The sequence below is a fragment of the Homo sapiens genome, chromosome 8 (assembly GCF_000001405.40).
Source record: "Homo sapiens chromosome 8, GRCh38.p14 Primary Assembly".
In the NCBI taxonomy this organism is placed as follows: domain Eukaryota; kingdom Metazoa; phylum Chordata; class Mammalia; order Primates; family Hominidae; genus Homo; species Homo sapiens.
This window is the reverse complement of record NC_000008.11, coordinates 98,619,424-98,640,800: the sequence shown is the minus strand read 5'-3', so window position 1 is coordinate 98,640,800 and position 21,377 is coordinate 98,619,424. Positions and strand designations below refer to the sequence as shown.

General features: G+C 38.0%; 1 protein-coding gene and 1 pseudogene across 21 annotated transcripts in view; one reads left to right on the top strand and one right to left on the bottom strand.

The window, feature by feature from the left end:
• Window positions 1–21,377, top strand: part of STK3 (serine/threonine kinase 3) — a 598,636-nt gene that overhangs the window by 301,810 nt on the left and 275,449 nt on the right. For 2 of the 20 annotated variants that reach the window (XM_011517257.3, XM_047422137.1), the window contains one exon: window positions 2,241–6,351. The exons of 17 other annotated variants lie outside the window; for them this stretch is intronic. In XM_011517257.3, the coding sequence (XP_011515559.2) occupies window positions 2,241–2,243 (3 nt within the window). In that variant the 3' untranslated portion in view covers window positions 2,244–6,351. Of the gene's footprint in view, window positions 1–2,240; window positions 6,352–21,377 lie in introns of those variants that run through there. One more of the 20 variants, XR_007060755.1, reaches the window with a different exon arrangement.
• Window positions 6,835–11,839, bottom strand: ATP5PFP3 (ATP5PF pseudogene 3; annotated as a pseudogene). The gene is made up of 2 exons (XR_007060780.1): window positions 11,789–11,839; window positions 6,835–7,264 (listed from the first exon to the last, which is right to left on the bottom strand). The product of XR_007060780.1 is annotated as an ATP5PF pseudogene 3 (transcript).

Below are 21,377 nucleotides of genomic sequence, written 5' to 3'. Positions count from 1 at the left end.
CTTTATTAGAATAAAAAATTGTAAAATGTGATAATATTTATAATTATGCTTATTATTTGTTAGGTATACTGTATTTATATTTAAGGAAACATGAGCAAATGACCAAGAATAATTAAATTATATTGGAATGTTCCTTTCAAGTAGGTGCTTTGGAGTTTTAAATTTAATACTTTAATAATAAATGCAAATTGTTAATTATTGTATTGTTGTTTATTGGTACAATGAAAGTGTTGAAGATATTTTCATAAGAAGAATGGTAGTATAAAATAGATTGAGAATAAAATCAAAGTTAATTGAATATTAGGAACCCTTCACTAGTATATCATTAACTTTTATGTTTTTTTATATCACATTTTTCCACTAGATTACAGAACTACAAAAGAATATATTCTTCCTTGAAGTTTTGCCACAATTTTGTGTATAAAATTCTTTTGAATAAAATGAATATGGAGGTCAGGCACAGTTGCTCAAGCCTGTATTCCCAGCACTTTGGGAGGCCAAGGCAGGCAGATCACTTGAGCTCAGGAGTTCTAGACCAGCCTGGACAACATGGTGAAACCCCGTGTCTACAGTACAAAAATTAGCCTGGCATAGTGGCTTGTGCCTGTAGTCCCAGCTACTTGGGAGACTGAGGTGGGAGAATCACTTGAGTCCAGGAGGTCAAGACTGCAGTGAGCCGTGATCGCGCCACTGCACTCCAGCCTGGGTGATGGGGTGAGATCCTGTCTCTGAATGAGTAGAATAGAATAGAATAGAATAGGGAATATGGAATAACATATAACAAATAACAGCCTCTCAAGCAGCTGGGATTGCAGGCATACACCACCACTCCCAACTAATTTTTGTATTTTTAGTAAAGATGGGGTTTCACCATGTTGGCCAGGCTAGTCTTGAACTCCTGACCTCAGGTGATCCATCTGCCTAAGCCTTCCAAAGTGCTGGGATTACAGGCGTGAGCCACCGCGCCTGGCCAGGAACCAAAATATTTAAATTGAACAAAGGCGTGTCTTTGTTTCTTGCTATGTGAAGTTAAGAAACACACCTTCACGTTAACATGGAAAAACACTTAAAAAGATATGAAAGGTAACATTGACATCAGATGAAACCTGATTGTAAAAGCATAATGAATTATTACTATATGCCTTTGGTTTTGAAAAGCAAATAAAGAAACAAAAAGTAAGTTTTCCCCAAAGCATTAATAGTCATGAAGCTTATTGAAAGTATTAAACATTATGAAAACTTGTGTGAAGGTCTAAAAATTCCTGTGTTAGAAGAAAGCTTTCACAGTGTCATGTCATTTTCAGTGAAAGAAGAGCACATTTCAACATTGAAACTGAGTATTGCATTTTAAAATCCCATCTATTTCAGGAGGATTAATATCCATATTGGACCAGGCATGGTGCCTCATGCCTATAATCCCAGCACTTTGGGAGGCTGAGGTGGGTGGATTGCTTGAGCCCAGGAATTTCATACCAGCCTGGGCAACATGACAAAACCCTGTCTCTACAAAACATACAAAAACAATTAGCTGGGTGTGGTGGCATGCGCCTGTAGTCCCAGCTACTCAGGAACCTGAGGTGAGAGGATCGGTTGAGCCCAGGAGGTTGAGACTGCAGTGAGCTGTGATCATGCCACTGTGTTCCAGTGTGGGTGACAGAATAAGACCTTGCTCAAAAAAAAAAAAAAAAAAGTGTATCTCCTTATTGTAACTTTTAGAGTACTGTTTCTACAGACTAGTATAACTATTGCCTTTTCACAGCTTTATGCGTAGTTGTTAGAACAGTAATCCTTTCCCATAATATGTCTATTTCAGACCATAAGCCCATTTTAATTATTGTTAATTTTTACTTAATATTTACTATATTTGCCCTTGTCTAAATAGTAATTACTACATTAAATAAGATTTTTATATAACCAACATTTCATTGTAACATTATTTCCAAGAACTGTCCTATAAATAATTGAGTAAAACTGACATTTTAAACCACCCCCTCTGTGCTCTATGTTTAACTCTTAATACTGTTCTCATGCTCTGACCCCACTGCTGCCTGTCTCTTTGCTGGTGTTGCTGTCCTCTGTCCTTTGCCTCTTAGTGGTCTCAGTTTTCTCTTAATATGAACAAGCAATGGGAGGAATGGTGCTGCTGTTTCTTCCACCTTGGTCACAAGCTAACCTCTACATTTTTGTCTAAAGAAGTCACTTTTATTCACTAAGTCCTTTCTATTCCCATTCTGTTTCAGTAATGCCTTGATTGGTTGTGTCACCTGTGCAGTAGTTGAAAATGGATATGAGTACACAATTTCAGGACCTCCCTGCTTCCTTGTAGATCATTTGGCCGTATGTAAGTGATTTAACAGTCATGCAGTCAGAATTGTTAGAGTAAATAATTTCCATCTTCATTACTGTATCTTTGTATTCATGAACACTTGCAGGAACATAATATTCTTCAGTTAAATTTAGGCAAGTTTAAAAAAATTAGGCTAAATAAGTAACAAATTTAAAAATCAAGCTAGTTTACATATTTGGAGACTTCCATTTTTGTAATAATGGTGAATGAAGAGTTTCTTTTGAGTACTTTTTAAAATACCAACAATTGATAAAGTGTAAATTTACTTAAGGAATTAATTAATGTAGGTTTTTTGTATGAAAGCAGTCTTGATATCAAATTATGATTATATGTACATTTTAACTTAGTTACATTATAACTTTCAAAAAATTTCTTAGCCAAAAAAAATTAGCAGAGAGTTTAGTATTTATTTCTAGAAACACACCTAAAGTAGCATGAGTAGAGAGTTTAAAAGGAATAGTAAAACAGATTTCTTTACATGATAGATTATAAGAAAATGTTGGGTGCCAACACCTAATAAGATATTTAAAAATAATATTGCTTTTAGTTATGAATATTTCTATTACTTAGTTTGTCATATACCTAATTGTATGGTGGTTCAGGTTGATTTGAGATTACAAACATTGATGTTGAAACTTCATAGCTTTAGACCATCTTTTTTTGTGTGGGTTTGTGTCAGCTAAATTATCAGTTTCATTTGCTCATTTAAAACTGTAATACATAAAAAAATTGGTTAAAAAGGATTATTATACTTTTTTAGACATTGTGCAGATTCCATTTTAGTAGCTCCAAAATAAGACATTGGAGTTGAATTAGGGGAAAACTGATATTATGCAGGAGTGCTGTCCTCACTTTCACCAGAAAATTATTTAAATTGGAATTTCCAAATGTGAGAAATCTGAAAGGAATAAAAAATGCTAGTCCTTAATGTTAGCCGTATGGTTGGTGTTAGCCAAAATGAAGTTCAGGCTGTGATGCTCTGTAGCCACTGTATGACCTACCCAAAGGCAATCAGAACTCACTCGTTTCTTCCTTTTTTCTTTTCTTCCTCTTTTTTTTAAACTAATTGGCCCATGTTTAGTTTACTGAATGTCATCTGGACTCAGTAAAAAGCAAGTGACCTGCATTGAATTAGTGTAATTGTAATACAAACAGAATATTGCATAGTTTTGGTCTTATACAGGAAAGGAGAAAGTTGGAAAGATTTTTCTGTTTGATAAATAGAAACTGAAGATGTGGGAATCCAGGCCTGGTTCATACTTGATTTTACCTTTCATGTCTCTTTGTAAGATCAGTATTTGGACTTTTAGGCATTTTTCCTCTGTAAAAAAACATTGGTTTTCATTTTGAAATTTATTATGAAAGAAGTCTGCTTTTTGTAAAAAAAAAAAAAAAAAATCTTACAAATGATGTATATTAAGTCATGGATCTAATTCAATCATAAGAAAGTTAGCATTGTCCAAAATGGAAGTACTTTATGCACTACTAGGATTGTCAGGAACTTGGCATATTATTTTACCTTTATCATGACCAATATTGCAAGGACATTTTCAAATGCTATTTTATTAGTTTTGGATAGTTTATATTTATTACATTCTGTGTCAGATGCGTAATAGCTCCATTTGCTAAGGGGAAAAATAAAGAGCTGACATATTTAAATTTCATTTTAAATAATATGTTTTAAATTTTAACTATATGACTTTGGTCTTATAATTAATTAATTTGATTTTGAAAGCGTCATTTTGAAATGGAATTATTTGGCATCCTGAAATGCAAATTCTGTGTAACTTATACTCTTGTAATAGGACACTGCCAGTACAATAACTATAAACAGCTTAGATCTTCCTATTATAATCTTGGAGTGCCTTGTACTTTTTGTCTTTAACACATATTTCTTGAAATATTTCTCTGATTTTTAATTTAATGTTTGGTTTTTCCACTGGATTCCATGTCTCAAGAGAGCAGGTACTGGGTCTTCCCTTGTATTTTAACATGATAGTCTTTCGTGCCTAACACAATGCCTGGCATATGATAGGCAGTCAGTAAATGTCAGTTAAATAAGTGTAAAAATGAATAAGGAAATTATTTACATTAGTACTTAGAAAAATCTAGTATCTAAATAGTATCCAAGTACTGAACAATCTAGTAATTGCTTATATAGTATAATTGCAGTGGTAGAATCCTAGCTTTTCTACTTGCTGATTGTATTACCATGCCCAATTTAACCTCTCCATGTCTCACTTTTTTCCCATATGTACAGTGAGAATAATTATAATCTTTATCCTGAGGAGTTGTTATGAGGATTGAATGAGGTAATTCATGTTTCCTTGGGAATGCCCCACAGAGTTAATTGATATTATTATCATTGTTCTGTTTTTTACTATTTTAGAGGTGCTTTGGAATCATAGAAGGAATGTATGGCTTTATTAGGAAGGGTTGTATTAGGGAAAGCATAAAAAAATAGGTAATGTACTAAAAACTTATTGAAAGATGGTTAGACGATGCCTCATGGCCAAAGGTAAGCCATGCTGAAAAGAAGTTGTACTTTATTTCGTAAGTAATAGGGGAAAGATTGGGGTTTGAAGTAGGGGTTCAGCAATCTGCATTTAACAAGCCCACCAAGAAATTCTGATGCATAGTAAAATTTAAGAACAATTATTATATGTACATATTTATATAGATGAGAACTATTGTTATATATACATGTTTATACAGATTAAAAATGTACAGATGTTTTAAATAATATTTTAATTCTGTGTGTTTTTTTACTTAATAATGTAGTCTAGCAAGTTTCTGATCAGTAAACTCAATTTTCTCCTACATGTATTGTAAAATTAGAAATATTTCCTACTAGAAAATAGTTGTCTTCAGATTAAGTTAGTAACCAAAAGTATTCTTTATCCACCTGAAAAGAGGTAGTATAACTTGATGATTAAGATCATGGACTTTGGAGCTAGACTGCCTGGGTTCCATTTTCAACTCTGTCCTTTATTTGCTGAGTATTTGAGGGCAAGTTATTTAACCTTTCTATCCCTCAGTTTTCTCATATATAAAATGGAGAAATACTTCCTCATAGGGTTTTGGTGAGGATTAAAAGAAATAATTTTTGTAAAGCTACTTAGTACATTGCCCCATACATAATAAGTGCTATATAGAGAAAATGTAATAGTAACAACAATAATTACAACATATGATAACATGAATGTATCAAAAGTTACATAATTAAAGCATTTAACAATAGTGCTGAGACAGCCTAAGCACAGCATGCTTATTGCTTAAAAAGTCCTAGTTAAATGGCCATATACATATGCCTGAACTTTGGGGCCTCATTTTACCCTTTTCTGGCTGTAGTATTATAGAAGGGTATGCCTCTTTCTTCTTGTTTTTTTTTCTCCTACCCATCACTTATTTCCTCTCTGCTATGGAACTTTACAGGCTCACGTGCTCCTTGATTTAGGAGACAAACAGTTTTCCTTTGGGAGAATGAAAAAACAGTGAAAATAACCTGGGGATATTGCATTTGAATTCTCTCAAAATAGTATAAAAACGCATGCCTGTAGTCCCAGCTACTTGGGAGGCTGAGGTGGGAGAATCACTTGGACCCAGGAAGCAGAGGTGCCAGTGAACTGCTTTTATATGTGGCTCTGAAAGAAAGGGTTAAGACAGCAGTAGAGAACACTGCTGTCTCCATTCCCTGGCTTTCCTCCAGCTTTTATCTCTGTCTTGAATTCTAGACATATTTCTAGTAATCTGCTTATATAATTTTCTTTACTATTTTGAGATAATTCAAATCCAATATCTCCAAGTTGTTTTCACTGTTTTTTCATCAGGCTTGTTTCTCCCTTTATATTTGAACCAACTATGTATTTGAAACAACTGGTTAGATGGTGGTGCCATTAACCAAGAGTATCCTCCCTCTGTCCAATCTTCCGCCTTTATTTTTTATTTTATTTTGAGACAGGGTCTCACTCTGTCACCCAGACTAGAGTGCAGTGGCACGATCTCCGCTCACTGGAACCTCCGCTTCCTGGGTTCAAGTGATCCTCCCACCTCAGCCTCCCGAGTAGCTGGGACTACAGGCATGCACCACCACCCCTGGTTAATTTTTGTATATATATATATTTTTTCTTTTAGAGACAGGGTTTCACCATGTTGCCCAGGCTGTTCTCAAACTCCTGGACTCAAGTGATCCGCCTGCCTTGGCCTCCCAAAGTGCTGGCATTACAGGCCACTGTGCCTGGCCCAATCTTCTGCCTTTAATCAGTCACCAGGTCCTGTTGATGTTTCCTTCCCTCCTTCCTGTCCAGCTCCACTGCCACTGTGCTGATTCAAGTTTTCATTATTCACCAGTTCCCATCTCTGTAACTTTCTTAATATCTCTCAAGTAATATCCCCTTCTTTTCGTCCACATCTTTATTTTTCCTTCCAGATTTTTTTAATACTCCACATCACCAACTAATTTATTTGGAATCGAGATTAAAAGAACATTTGACAGTTGTGAATGTATGTTTATTCTGAAACTTCTAGCTAGTTGTACAGCTAACCCTTGACAACTTACCAGGTTAATTTTACTTTATTTCTTCAGGCCTGGGGTTTTTTGATGACTTCAAGTTTGGGATCTTCAAATTTGAAGTTAGGGAATGTATTCATGTCTGCTTTACCATACACTTGCTTGAGCTTAAAAAGCTTCTTCTCTGGCTCTTGCTGGTACTCTGGATCAGTATCAACAGATCCTCCAGATGTCTGTCACTTAGATTTGTATTCTCTAACCTTGTACATAAAGAGTTTCTGTACAGGATCAAGTTCCTTATTAAACGCCACTGCTGTAACACCAATGTTCCTCCGCAAATGGACTGAGACTGCTGACTGAAAGACAGAGGAGAACCTGAAGAGCCTCTGGAGAATCTGGCTGATTCTCTGTTACTTGCACTCAGTCCTGAGCTGGCAAAGCCAACGCCACCGCCATCGTTCTACCTTCTTCTGGATCAGTACCAACTGATTTAATAATCTGCAGTCTCAATCTCCTCTCTAAAGTAAACTTCATGATGCTGCTAGATTGATCATCTTAAATGAAACACAACTCATATTACTGTCTTACTTAAGATCCTCCCCATTAATAGCCAAATTTTTAAGGGTGTCATGTAAGACCTTGGGCTCTGCATACATCTTTATTCATGTGATATTTCCTTTCCTTTAGCCATACTATCATTTGTAGGTAGTGTTAGGTTTACCTCTGCCTTCTTCTAAGTGTTACTTTATGCCTGCATTTTCTCCCATCTTTTTTCTACACATTCTATCTTGGGAACTTTTCTTCTGGGCTTCCTTTGCATCTTGTGTGCCCCAAGACCATACAAGTTATCATCTTCTGTTATAGTTTATATGACTTCTCTACCACATTATGAAGTTATTGATAGCAGCATGTGTAATTTTTATTTTGTGTCTTCAGTATCTAATACTACGCTTTATGACATACTAATTATTAAATAAATGATTAATACATTTATATACAAATTTGGGGTACATAATTTTCATTTGCATTTTTTAATAACTGGGAAGGTTGAGGTGGACATATCTATATTTAATAAACCTTGAAGGAAAGAATATTCTCTCTCTTATCAGTGAACAGCTTGAGTGCTACCATGTGTTCAGCTGTGGGTGAGGCACTACATGAATGAAATCAAAATACGAGGGAAGGACTGGTGTTATAAATTGCTTTTTCTTTGACAAAATATTATTTAAAATAATTCATTTTATACTCATAATGCATATTTTTTTAGTGCAGTTTAGTTTTAGGAAAACAAATCATTTAGGTTAACATCTAAAATGTTAATGTTGAACTTTACTGACTATAGTATGGCATATGTCCAATAGAATCTGTTAAAAATTTTCCTCTGCGTCAGATCTAAGTTGAGAAGAATGAGGTAACTTTAATGTGAACCTAGATTGTAATGCAGTCTTTCTCTCCAGTGAATTGCCAAATTCACAATTTCATTTGTATCTGGAATTGGGGAAGCTGAGTTTAATATGGATGTTTGCCAAGTTAGCAAATCTTGGCAAGATAGTCTTATTCTCTGTGCTTAATTATATAGTTTTATTATAAAGTTTTTCACATGTTCATTTGTAGGTATCTATTATTCTCTTGAGGTGAGTTCACATGGTCGCCAATCTCTCATTTATACTTTATTCTTTTGGTAGTTAATCATTTACTGTCAAGCCTTCTATCTTTCTTAGAAGACTACATTTTTATTTTTACATTTTTATATATTACCACTAGTGATCCAGTTTTGTCTCTTTGCGAGGTTTATGGATTTTTGAGCAGTACAAGTGTAAATCCCTCAGAAAGGCTTTGGTATATTAATTTATTTCATATTTATTGAGTGCCTGCTCAGACACTGTTTTAGGCACTCATACATAACAGTGAATGAAACAAAGTTCCAATCTCTTAGGTACCTATTTGTAGTGGGGAAAGACAGTAAATTACACACAAAAAGCTGGGCACAGTGGCCCACGCCTGTAATCCCAGCACTTTGGGAGGCTGAGGCGGGTGGATCACCCAAAGTCAGGAGTTCAAGACCAGCCTGACCAACATAGTGAAACGCATTTTCTATTAAAAATACAAAAAGTAGGTGGGCATAGTGGCGTATGCCTGTAGTCCCAGCTACTTTGGAGGCTGAGGCAGGAGAATTGCTTGAACCCAGGAGGCGGAGGTTGCAGTGAGCCGAGGTCGTGCCACTGCCCTCTAGCCTGGGAGACAGAGTGAGACACTGTCTCGGGAAAAAAACACACAAAAAAACGAAAACTATAGCATATCAGGTACTGATAACAGCTATGAAGAAAAAGCAGGATAAGAGGGATACAGAATGACAGATATGTTTGTGATATTATATGTAGGATGGTCAAGAAAGGCCTGTCTAATAAGGTGACTTATAGTAGAGATGTGAAGGAGCTAAGTAAATGAGCAATGCAGATTTCTGGGGAAAGAACGTTCTAGTCAGAGTAAACTGATGTGTGACTGTGTTTGATGTTTTAGAAACAGTAAGGAGGTTTAAGTGGCTGGAGCTGGATAAGATGGTGAAAGAAGTAGGAGATGAGATCAGAGGGATGGCAGGGAACCAGATCACTTAGAGCCTTCATAAACCACGGCAGGACCTTTAGCTTTTACCCTGAGTGAAACAGGAAACCATTGCAGGGTTTTGAGCAGAGGAATGGTATGGTCTGATGTGTGATTTAAACGGCTCGTTCTTCATTGAGAAGGGATTGTAGCAGGACAAGAATGGAAGCCAGGTGAATAGTGAGGAGGTTACTTCTTCAGTAGTCCAGGTAAGAGATAATGGCGGCCTGAACCAGGGTAGTAAAGGTAAAGTTGTTGAGATGTGGCCAGATTCTGGATATTTGTATTTTCTGATTATCTAAATGTGGAATGTAAATGAGAGTCAGGATTTTTGGCCTAGGTTTTTGGCTCAGATATCTTGAATGATGAAGATAAGAAATGATGTTAAACATATTTATAGTTAATGTGTTTTAATAAAAAAAAAGAAATGTTTACTATATGTCAGGTTTATCTCTTAAAACATTCTGCTTTGGCATCTCTCATAACTAGAAAATCTCATCTTTATACTGTTTCTTTCTTTCTTCTTCTTCTTCTTCCTCTTCCTCTTCTTCCTCTTCCTCTTCCTCTTCTTCTTCTTGTTCTTCTCCTTCTCCTTATCCTTCTTCTCCTTCTTCTCCTCCTTCTCCTCCTTCTCCTCCTTCTCCTCCTTCTTCTCCTTCTCCTCCTTCTCCTCCTTCTCCTTCTCCTTCTCCTTCTCCTTCTTCTTCTGTTCCTCTCTGTCACCCAGGCTGGAGTACACTGGTGCCATTAGGGTTCACAGTAGCCCTGACCTCCCAGGCTCAAGTGATTCTCCCACCTTGGCCTCCCAAGTAGCTGCAACTTCAGGCGTGTGCCACCACCCCTGCTAATTTTTAAAATTTTTTTGTGGAGATGGGGTCTCATTGTGTTGCCCAGGCTGGTCTCGAACACGTGGGCTCAAGCAGTCCTCTCGCCTTAGCCTCCCAAAGTGCTGGGATTACAGGCATGACCCACCATGCCCAGCCTTAATACTGATTCTTAATACTTCACATTTTATTCTCTAAGTACGTGCTGTTTGTTTGGTGCTTGGTCCTGAACTATTTTTAAAATGTGGTTTATATTATTATTCAAATATGGTGAAACTAACACGTCAGGAGACAACTGCCATTGAAAAGATTGATACAGTTTCTAAGTGGAGAGGGCATGGCACATCAGACAGGGTGGCATATATGCCACGCCACATAGTGCTCATAGGGAAGCACCAGGGTTGTTTAGGAGGCAGAAATAGCTAGGGAAATCATGGGGGAGAGCCTTTATCATGATTTTAGTGAGAAGGAACAGGCGAGGCAGGGTAAGGAGGCTTAGAATTGGCTGGTTTTAATAATGTCGGCATAGTCACATATAAGAGCAGCCCCCAAGTTGTTTGATACCTGGCCCTGGCGTGATTATTAGAACAGGGGACTATTCTAATAGTCCCAGAATATAAGAGTTCTGTGAGAGCTGAATACTGGGGATGGATGGGAGGTAGTTTTAGATTGAGTGGTTTGCATGCGAAAAGCACTCAAGGAGGGGTAGTTTGCTGTCTAAGAAGTAGCTAGCCTTGGGAGGGGCAGTCTCTCCTGGGTCAGCATGGTTCCCATCAAGAATACGGAAAACAAAGTGAAAACAGTTTCTGTATGTTATATTTGCTTGGCTTCTGTCTTTTTAATACTACCATCCTAGTTTATGCCCTCCATTGGTCTGGTCAGGAAAATTACAGTAGGACCTTCCTTTCCATCTTTAGTTTTTATCTTTGTTTCCTCCCTAGCATTTATTTTCGAATCAGTAGCCACAAAGGGGAATCTTGGTTGTATGACTTTACCTGGATCCCTCTAGATTAGTAAACTTTTGACCATGTTCTAAAGTAGTGTTTAGGGTTCCCCATATTTGATTTGAAGTCCACTTGATTATATGAACCAATGTTTGTGAGAGGAAGGAAGGTGGGTGTGTGGGGTCTCCAGTTTTTTTCATGCCCCTTTCAATTATTGTGGGTTTAAAAAAGGTTTCTGTACTAGGGTTCCATGTATGAGTTTATTTGGAAAGTAGATTTCACTGCTCAAAAGTTGGTAAACTCTCGTAAATGACTGTCAAGCTTCCTTATTATAGCATGATTATTTTTTTCTTCTGTGTCTAGGGTGATGGGCCTACCAGCTGAGCCTATCATACTAAAGAGATTAGTCTAATTTTGTGTATGAAGTACTTGAGTCTTTTCTGAGTCAAATAATTTAGCCAAAGTCACAAATCTCTTATTGGGGGAAAAGAGAATTGGTATAATCTGTGTCTAAAAATCCATCAAGTTACCCTAAAAAACTATCACTGTACAAATTCCTCACTTGGCCTTTACTCTTGCTGTCCCATCCAGGTTTCCAGGCTTCTCTCAACATCCCCCTATATAGACAATTTTTCCTGCCAAACAAGATGATTTAATGTTTTCCAAACCTGTTGCCTTCGTCTACTTTATTCCTTTACCTTCGTCACTGTCTTCCATTTATAGGCACATTCCTTTTTTTTTTTTTTTTTTTTTTTGGAGTGTGGAGGGGAGTGGAGACAGGATATTCCTCTATTGCCTGGGATAGAGTGCAGTGGTGTGATCATAGCTCACTGCTGTCTTGAACTCCTGGCCTCAAGCTGTTCTTCTGCCTCAGCCTCCTGAGTAGCTGGGAACATAGGCACATACCACTAGGACTGGCTGATTTTTAAAATTTTACTTTTGTAGAGATAGGGTTGCGCTATTTTGCCCAGGCTAGTTTCTAACTCTTGGCCTCAAGTGATCCTCCCACCTCTGCCTTCCAAAGTGCTGGGATTACAGGTGTGAGCCACCATGCCTGCCTGTGTATTCCTTTAACTTAGCAAGTGTTTATGAAACACCTGCTTTGTGTTGGGCACTCTCCTGGACTCTTGAATATAGGGATAAATAAAATTCTTTCTGCTTCAGGGAACCCCCAGGTTAAGGAAAGCCAAAAGTCTAGCATGAGTAATCTACAGAGTCTTTCAAGAGTACTTCACATCAGATGTGTCTAGTAACATTGTGTAGCCAGACCAAGTGGTTGGGAACAATGGTAAGAGATGAGCCTGGAAAATTGAAAAGAGAGGAAGGAGGCCATGAGCGAAGGATTGTGGATAGCTTGTATAAACTGGAAAAATCAGGGGCAAGTTCTGTCTCAGAATTTCCAGAAATTCTAATTCTGTCAGCAGTAGGTATCTTTAGTTTTATGTAGAGTTGTTGCATTACTGGACTGTGTTTTACACAGATATAAAACAGATATTAAAGGAGAAACTAGAGACAGGAGAATTAGGTTACATGTTTGTTGTAGTATTCTACTGAGCTGTTTGCTTAGTACCTGAATTTTAACAACCACAAATATTTGTAGTATCAAATTATCTTATATATTTTCTCATTTGATGTTAAAACAACATAGTGTGCTGGCACAATTAGATACCCACATGTACAAAAATGAAATTAGACTCCAACCTCATACCCTGTAAAAATGTTAATTCAAAATGCACCAAAGACCTAAATTTAACAGCTAAATCTATAAAATTTTTGGTAGTAAACATAGATGTAAATCTTAGGCTTTGCTGTGTGTGTGTTAGCTTGTTTTTGCATTGCTATAAATAAATACCTGAAGCTGGGTAATTTATAAATAAAAGAGGTTTAATTGGCCTACAGTTCTACAGGTCATACAAGCATGATGCCAGCATCTGCTTGGCTTCTGGTGAGGCTTCAGGAAGCTTTTACTTCCTGAGGCAGTGGGGGCATGAGTATGTCACATGGTGATAGCAGGAGCAAAAGAAAGGGGAGGAGTCTCAGGCTCTTTTAAATAACCAGACCTTTTTTTTTTTTTTTTTCTTTTTTCTTTTTTTAGTGCAGTGGCACGATCTCGGCTCACTGCAACCTCTGCCTCCTGGGTTCAAGCGATTTTCCTGTCTCAGCCTCCCAAGTAGCTGGGATTACAGGCACATGCCACCACGCTTGGCTAATTTTTATGTTTTTAGTAGAGACAGGGTTTCACCATGTTGGCCAGGCTGATCTTGAACTCCTGACCTCAAGTGATACACCTGTCTCAGTCTCCCAAAGTGCTGGGATTATAGGCATGTACTGCTGTGCCCGGCTAATTTTTATATTTTTAGTAGAGACGGGGTTTTACCATGTTGGCCAGGCTGGTCTTGAACCCCTGAGTTCAAGTGATCTGCTGGGCTTGGCCTCCCAAAGTGTTGAGATTACAAGCATGAGCCACTGCGCCTGGCCTATGATGACTCTTAAGACTTGAGTCCAAGCCACATAGCCATTAGAGGTGGCATGGAATGTTTTTCCAGGTATGAAGTGGGGACAGAATTTTTTTCTCTCTTCTCAATCTTTTCTCTCTACATTCTGTACTCTTAAATTGTTTTACTCAACAAACATTATCTTTTGTATACTAAGCATTGCACCTGGAACTGAGGATACAGAAAGCAGTGTGGAGCTAGAATCACTTACCAAAATTCTGCAGTTTCTAGTTTGGGAAGCTGTTTGGTTGGTGATTAAAGAGAGTGACTCCAAGAGGAGGAAGATTGGTGAGATCAAGAAAATTTCTTATTTCCCCATGCAGACTTGCATGTAGTCTTCCTTTGTTCCTAGAGGCTGTTTGAAAGAATACCTTATCCTCATTGTCTCTACTTTATTAGAATACATTTAGTTTCTTTTAAACTTCTTTTAAATTATTTCTTCATATTTGCCAGAGATCACTTATTATCAAATCCGATGGCCTCATCTCAGTCCCCTTCTTACCCCTGACCTCCTAAAGCAGGGCCTTTTTTCTGTAAAGGGCCAGATAGTAAATATTTTAGTCTTTACAAGTTATATGGTCTCTGCTGCAGTCATTCAGCTCTTCCATTATAATGTGAAAGTAGCCATATAGACAGCACATAAATGAATGAGTGTGGCTGTGTTCCCATAAAACTTTATTTACCAAAACAGGAGACTGGTTAGATTTGGCATGTGGGCCGAAGTTTTCTGATCCCTGCTCTGAAACATTTGATTGTATTTCTACCTTTTTTGGGAAGAGAGTGTTTCTTTTCTTCAGTGATACTTTTCCCCCTTTTCTCATTGAATGGCACCTTTTCCTGTATAGTCACTTTTTCATGTGATTCTATCTACAGCTATTTTCTTGCTTTATACTCAGGCTTCTGTTAAGGCTTCTATGCTGCAGATTCTTTCCCCACTTCTAACAGGAAATAACTAAGATGGAGAGTTCACTCCTGCTGCTGCCTTTATGGCTGCCTCCTTTTTCCCCACCTCCTTTTATCAGGGGAGCATCTGGGGGGCAGGGTGAGGGGCAGCCTCTGTAATAAAGGGAAGAGAAAAGAGAGTCATTACCATGACGTGGTAGATGGTTCTGAACCACTTTTTTCAGGGTTATAGTAGGGTAGATTGCTTCCTCATGTTTGCTATCATAAGCCCCCCACTTCAGCATCCTATGCAGGCCTGTACACCTAAAAAGTACCCTTAAGTGTAGCAGTCTAGCATTCTGAGCTGCTGTGGATGTTTTTTCTGTGGTGGTTGTCTGTTGTCAGTTACGACAAACACTTCTTTTTCTTCCTCACAACTTTAAAACAGGGAAGAAAGAAAATCTCCTTGCCCCAAATTATCCCCTTTCCATTCTGCCTGAAATTTTGCCAAATAGATTCGTTTCAATTTTTAAGCCAAACACACTTGGGAGGTTTAAGCACAGATGAGTTACTGTTCATCCTGGCATCATTATGAAAAGGCATAATCAGTTTGCCTTTTCCCTTGTTAAACTGAGATAGACTCAGTGGAAGTTTTAATAGGTGGGAGGGAGGGAAGAAAGGTCAAAGAGAAACATGGCACTTTGGGCTTTTTCTGGGAGCAGAGCCAGCAGTGAGAGCTGGGGTTTTTGGGCTTGTAGAGGTGGGACTGGGAGAGGGAAAAGGGAAGTGGGAGGATGCACAAGACAAATGTCAGTTTTGAAAATGTGCCTTCTTTCCAGATCTTTGCTCTTGTTTACTGCCTTTCTTGATCTTTACTATAATGATGAGTGTGTATGTGTGTATGTGTGTGTTGTCGGAGAGAGGGTACAGTGGAAGTGGAATAAAGGAGAAACCAGAGGTAATTTGTCAGTAATCCTCAAATAGCAGTAAGGCTCACAGTTTAAGCGCCTTCTTTCAAGATACACTGCTAGCTAATGACAAGGCCACGACCATTTAGCTGGCTTTCTTTTTTTGTTATGTTTCTCTGTGGTGTTACATATAAGAAGTAGCTGCTGATTCACACTCAGCAGTCTTCTCTGGAGGATTTTATTTTAATTACCAATCTTTCGATCTTTCTCATTTTCTTGGGTTTAAAATTCAACTGGACTTCATCCTCAGGCCATTTAACTTATTTTTCCTCCTGTTTTCCAGCTTGTCAGTATCCTCAGGCATTCACTTTACTCCTCTATCTAGCCAAGACTCTACTCTGTCACTTGAACCACTTTCTTTTTTTTTTCTTTTTTGAGACAGAGTTCCACTCTTTTTGCCCAGGCTTGAGTGCAGTGGCACGATCTCAACTCACTGCAACCTCCACCTCCCAGGTTCAAGTGATTCTCCTGCCTCAGCTTCCCGAGTAGCTGGGATTACAGGTATCTGCCACCATACCCGGCTCATTTTTTGTATTTTTAGTAGAGATGGGGTTTCACCATGTTGCCCAGGCTAGTCTCGAACTCCTGACCTCAAGTGATCCCACCCGCCTTGGTCTCCCAAAGTGCTGGGATTACAGTCATGAACTACCGCACCCGGCTGAACCACTTTCTTTTAATTCCTTTTTTTCCTTCTCTTTTTTGCTGTATCTTCCTAACAATGTACCAATACTACACTAATCCCATAGTAATAAGTATAGTAGCTATTATTTATTGTCTACTATCTGACCAACTCTATGATAAAGTTTTACATAACTCTAAAACAACTCTAAAAGGAGTAGATATTATTATTGGCACACTCTATGTAACTATCATTATTATAACTCTAGATAACAACCCAAGACACAGCTACACTGATAGAGCTAGGTTATCACTCAGACTTAAAAAACCTCAAAGGTTTTTACCTTTCCCATTTTGCTGTGTTCCTCGTAACCAGGCTGCTTAACTGCAATTATGTAACTGTGAAGACTGATGCCCCCAAAAGATTGATTTCTAATCTGAAATGGACAGTTGGCAATCCTTTCACATGTTCCCCTACGCCTACCACCTCATTCTCTTCTGGGTCTGTTGCAAAATTTCTTTACCCCATCTCTCCTTGGTTTTGTCAGACTTGCTTTCTGGTCCAAAGAAAAACTGGAGACTATTAGCAGTTCACTGTTTCTGTCCCTCCGTCTAACTTAATGTATTAGTCTGTTCCTGCTGCTATAACAAAATGCTAAAGACTGGGTGATTTAAACAACAACAGTTTATTTTCTTACAGTTCTGGAGTCTGGACTTCCAAGATCAAGGTGTTGGCAGGTCTGGTTTCTTCTGAGGTCTCCCTCTGGCTTGCAGATGGCTGCCTTCTCTGTGTGTTCTCACATGGCCTTTGGGTTTTTGTTTTTGTTTGAGGCAGGGTCTTGCTCTGTCTCCCAGTCTGGAATGTCATGGTGTGATCACAGCTCACTGCAGCCGCGACCTCCTGAGCTCAAATGATCCTTCCACCTCAGCCTCCTGAGTAGCTGGGACTACAGGTGCACACCACCATGCCTGGCTAATTGTTGTATATTTTGTAGAGACGGGCTGTCGCTACGTTGCCCAGGCTGTTCTCAAACTCCTGGGCTCCAGTGATCTGCCTGCCTTGGCCTCCCAAAGTGCTGGGATTACAGGCATAAGCTACTGTGCCCAGCCCTGGCCTTTGGTTTTGAATGTACACATTCCTAATGTCTCTTCTTCTTCTTATAAGGACACAAGTCATATTGGATTAGAGCCCCACCTTTATGACCTCATTTAACCTTAATACCTCTTTAAAGGCCCAATCTGCAAATACAGTAACATGGAGCATTAGGGCTTTGACATAAAATTTGGTAGTGGTGGTGGTGGGGGGACAGGACACAATTCAGTCCGTAACAGTCAATATCTATACTTTTCCTTCCTTCCTTTATGTCTTTTTTCCCCCTCTCTTTCTTCCTTTCTTCCTTCCCTTTATTTTTTCTTCGTTTCTTTTTCTCCTCCTTCTCATCTTATTCTTCCCTCCCTCACAATATGTTCCATGTGGAGGAAGAGGGTTCCTTCTCTGCTCAAGTCCAATCTCTCAACCTCTATTCTGTATCCCATTCTTTCTTTTTCTTGTATTTTGGAGCATTACTCATCATTTGTTCACTCTAGCGTTTATTTTCTTCAGTTTCTTCTACATGGGTTTTCTTTTATCGGTATGTAAATATACTACTGCTCAATCATTATTACTACTACCGTTGTGTTCTATTATGCATATTAGTCCCATGTAATTTATTATTGTAAGATGTAACAATTAAATGCTGTAGAAGTAATCCTTCTGATTTTAAAATGGGAAATAGTACAGGTTTTTGCAATTTCAGAGCAATTTCTATTTCTTAGTTTGATAGAATGTTTCTACCTTAATGTTAAGCTAAAAATATACTAAAACTATTGTAATAAAAGTTTAATACATTAGGATAGGCGAACACATAATTTCCGTCTTCTTCTGAGATATAGAAATGTGTTGATTACTTTAAATGTAGCAATTGTAGGGAATTCTCTGCCAAGTTACAGAAATCTATGTATTAATATAGTTCTTCTTGAACTCGGTCCTCGATAATTTGATTTTTTACAGACCCTTGAGTTTACCATGATGAATTGTCATTGCAATACTTATTTGCACTTACTATACCAAACTTCAGTTGTGCTATATCATTAAAGTTTGTTACTTTTAGATTGCTTTGGGAAGCTGTATATTATAGTCTAGCTGTAGGAAATTTACATACAATGAATGAATGGCAATGTAATATACATCCTTATGTTTATTTATGAGTCATAACTAATCCTATTTAGTATTTGGTTTATTGTATTCAGTGATTAATAGAATCAGGGAAAGTAAACCAAAAAAATCCAATTTTTTTTTTTTTGGAGATGGAGTCTCATACTGTCACCCAGGCTGGAGTGCAGTGGCGCAATCTCAGCTCACTGCAACATCTGCCTCCTGGGTTCAAGAGATTCTCCTGCCTCACGAATAGCTGGGAACACAGGCATGCACCACCACACTCAGCTAATTTTTTTTTTTTTTTTTTTTTTTTAGTAGAGACAGGGTTTTACCATGTTGGCCAAGCTGGTCTTGAACTCCTGACCTCAAGTGATCTGCCTGCCTCAGCCTCCCAAAGTACTGGGATTACAGGCGTTAGCCACCGTGCCCAATGTCTGATTTTTTTTTTTGTATGTAGAATTTTTCATTTGACGGTCTTTTTTTCTCAGCCACAGATATATTTTACTTGCAACAAGAAGGTTTTTCTCATGTGTCCACAATCTGTATCATCTGGCCATACGGAGCTTCTTATGTAAGCAATTACCAGTGATTCTGGGACTAGCTATATAGATATGTTGCTTTATTCAGGGTCATAGTGTTAAAAAAAACAACACTCTGAGCTTCCACCTTAAGAACATACAGACAGCTGGGTTGTTGGGTGGGGAGAGTACCATTCAGCTGAATCAATGTAATGCACCATATTAACAGACTAAAGAAGAAAAGTCACATAATGTAGAAAAAAAAATTTGATGCAATTCAGCACCCATTTACGGTATTGAATGATCTCAGAATAATAGGAATAAAGATAACTTCTTCAATTTGATGAAGAATACCTATAAAAACCTTTCAGCTAACATCATAATTAATGGTAAAAGACTGAATGTTTTCCCCTAATGTTGGGAACAGGAACGATGTTCACTCTCACTACTCATTCAGCACAGTACTGGGAGTTCTTGCCAGCTCAAAAAGGCAAGAAGTGAAAGGAAAAGGCATACAGATTGGAAAGGTAGAAATGAAACCATCTCCTTTTGTAGATGATATGATTTTCTACATAGAAAATACCAATGAATAAACTCATAGAATTAATGAGTAAGCGCAACAAGGTTTCAAGATGCAAGATATAAAAATCAGTTGTTGGCCGGGCGCGGTGGCTCATGCCTGTAATCCCAGCACTTTGGGAGGCCGAGGCGGGCGGATCACGAGGTCAGGAGATCGAGACCATCCCGGCTAAAACGGTGAATACAAAAATACTAACGGTCTCTACTAAAAATACAAAAAATTAGCTGGGCGTAGTGGCGGGCGCCTGTAGTCCCAGCTACTTGGGAGGCTGAGGCAGGAGAATGGCGTGAACCCGGGAAGCGGAGCTTGCAGTGAGCCGAGATCCCGCCACTGCACTCCAGCCTGGGCGACAGAGCGAGACTCCGTCTCAAAAAAAAAAAAAAAAAAAAAATCAGTTGTTTTTCTGTGTACATTAACAATGAATTCATGGACATTGAAGTTAAAAATGCAATACCATTTACAGTTGCTTAAAAAACAAAAATATATTTAGAAACTTTACTACTCTTTTTGTCTTTTTTGTCATTTTGGAAGAGGTTTGTCAATTTCTTGTGTGTGTGTTTTTTAAAATAGCTGTTTGTTACATTGATATTTTTAACTTTTTTCATATTTTAAATTGTATTGATTTCTACTCTTTATTATTTTCTTTCTTCTTGTCTTGCATTTATTTTTGTTCTTCTTTGTCTAGGCTCTTCAAGTAGCAGCATGTGTCCTACAAATTTTAACAGGATTTGTTGTATTTTCATTTTTATTCGGTTTAGTGTATTTTTTTTAATTTCCCTTGAGACATCTTCTTTTTTTTTTTGATGTTGACCTTTTTATTTATTTATTTATTTATTTATTTATTTTTTTTATTATACTTTAAGTTTTAGGGTACATGTGCACATTGTGCAGGTTAGTTACATATGTATACATGTGCCATGCTGGTGTGCTGCACCCACTAACTCGTCATCTAGCATTAGGTATATCTCCCAATGCTACCCCTCCCCCCTCCCCTCACCCCACCACAGTCCCCAGAGTGTGATATTCCCCTTCCTGTGACCATGTGATCTCATTGTTCAATTCCCACCTATGAGTGAGAATATGCGGTGTTTGGTTTTTTGTTCTTGCGATAGTTTACTGAGAATGATGGTTTCCAATTTCATCCATGTCCCTACAAAGGACATGAACTCATCATTTTTTATGGCTGCATAGTATTCCATGGTGTATATGTGCCACATTTTCTTAATCCAGTCTATCATTGTTGGACATTTGGGTTGGTTCCAAGTCTTTGCTATTGTGAATAATGCCGCAATAAACATACCTGTGCATGTGTCTTTATAGCAGCATGATTTATAGTCATTTGGGTATATACCCAGTAATGGGATGGCTGGGTCAAATGGTATTTCTAGTTCTAGATCCCTGAGGAATCGCCACACTGACTTCCACAATGGTTGAACTAGTTTACAGTCCCACCAACAGTGTAAAAGTGTTCCTATTTCTCCACATCCTCTCCAGCACCTGTTGTTTCCTGACTTTTTAATGATTGCCATTCTAACTGGTGTGAGATGGTATCTCACTGTGGTTTTGATTTGCATTTCTCTGATGGCCAGTGATGATGAGCATTTTTTCATGTATTTTTTGGCTGCATAAATGTCTTCTTTTGAGAAGTGTCTGTTCATGTCCTTCGCCCACTTTTTGATGGGGTTGTTTGTTTTTTTCTTGTAAATTTGTTTGAGTTCATTGTAGATTCTGGATATTAGCCCTTTGTCAGATGAGTAGGTTGCGAAAATTTTCTCCCATGTTGTAGGTTGCCTGTTCACTCTGATGGTAGTTTCTTTTGCTGTGCAGAAGCTCTTTAGTTTAATTAGATCCCATTTGTCAATTTTGGCTTTTGTTGCCATTGCTTTTGGTGTT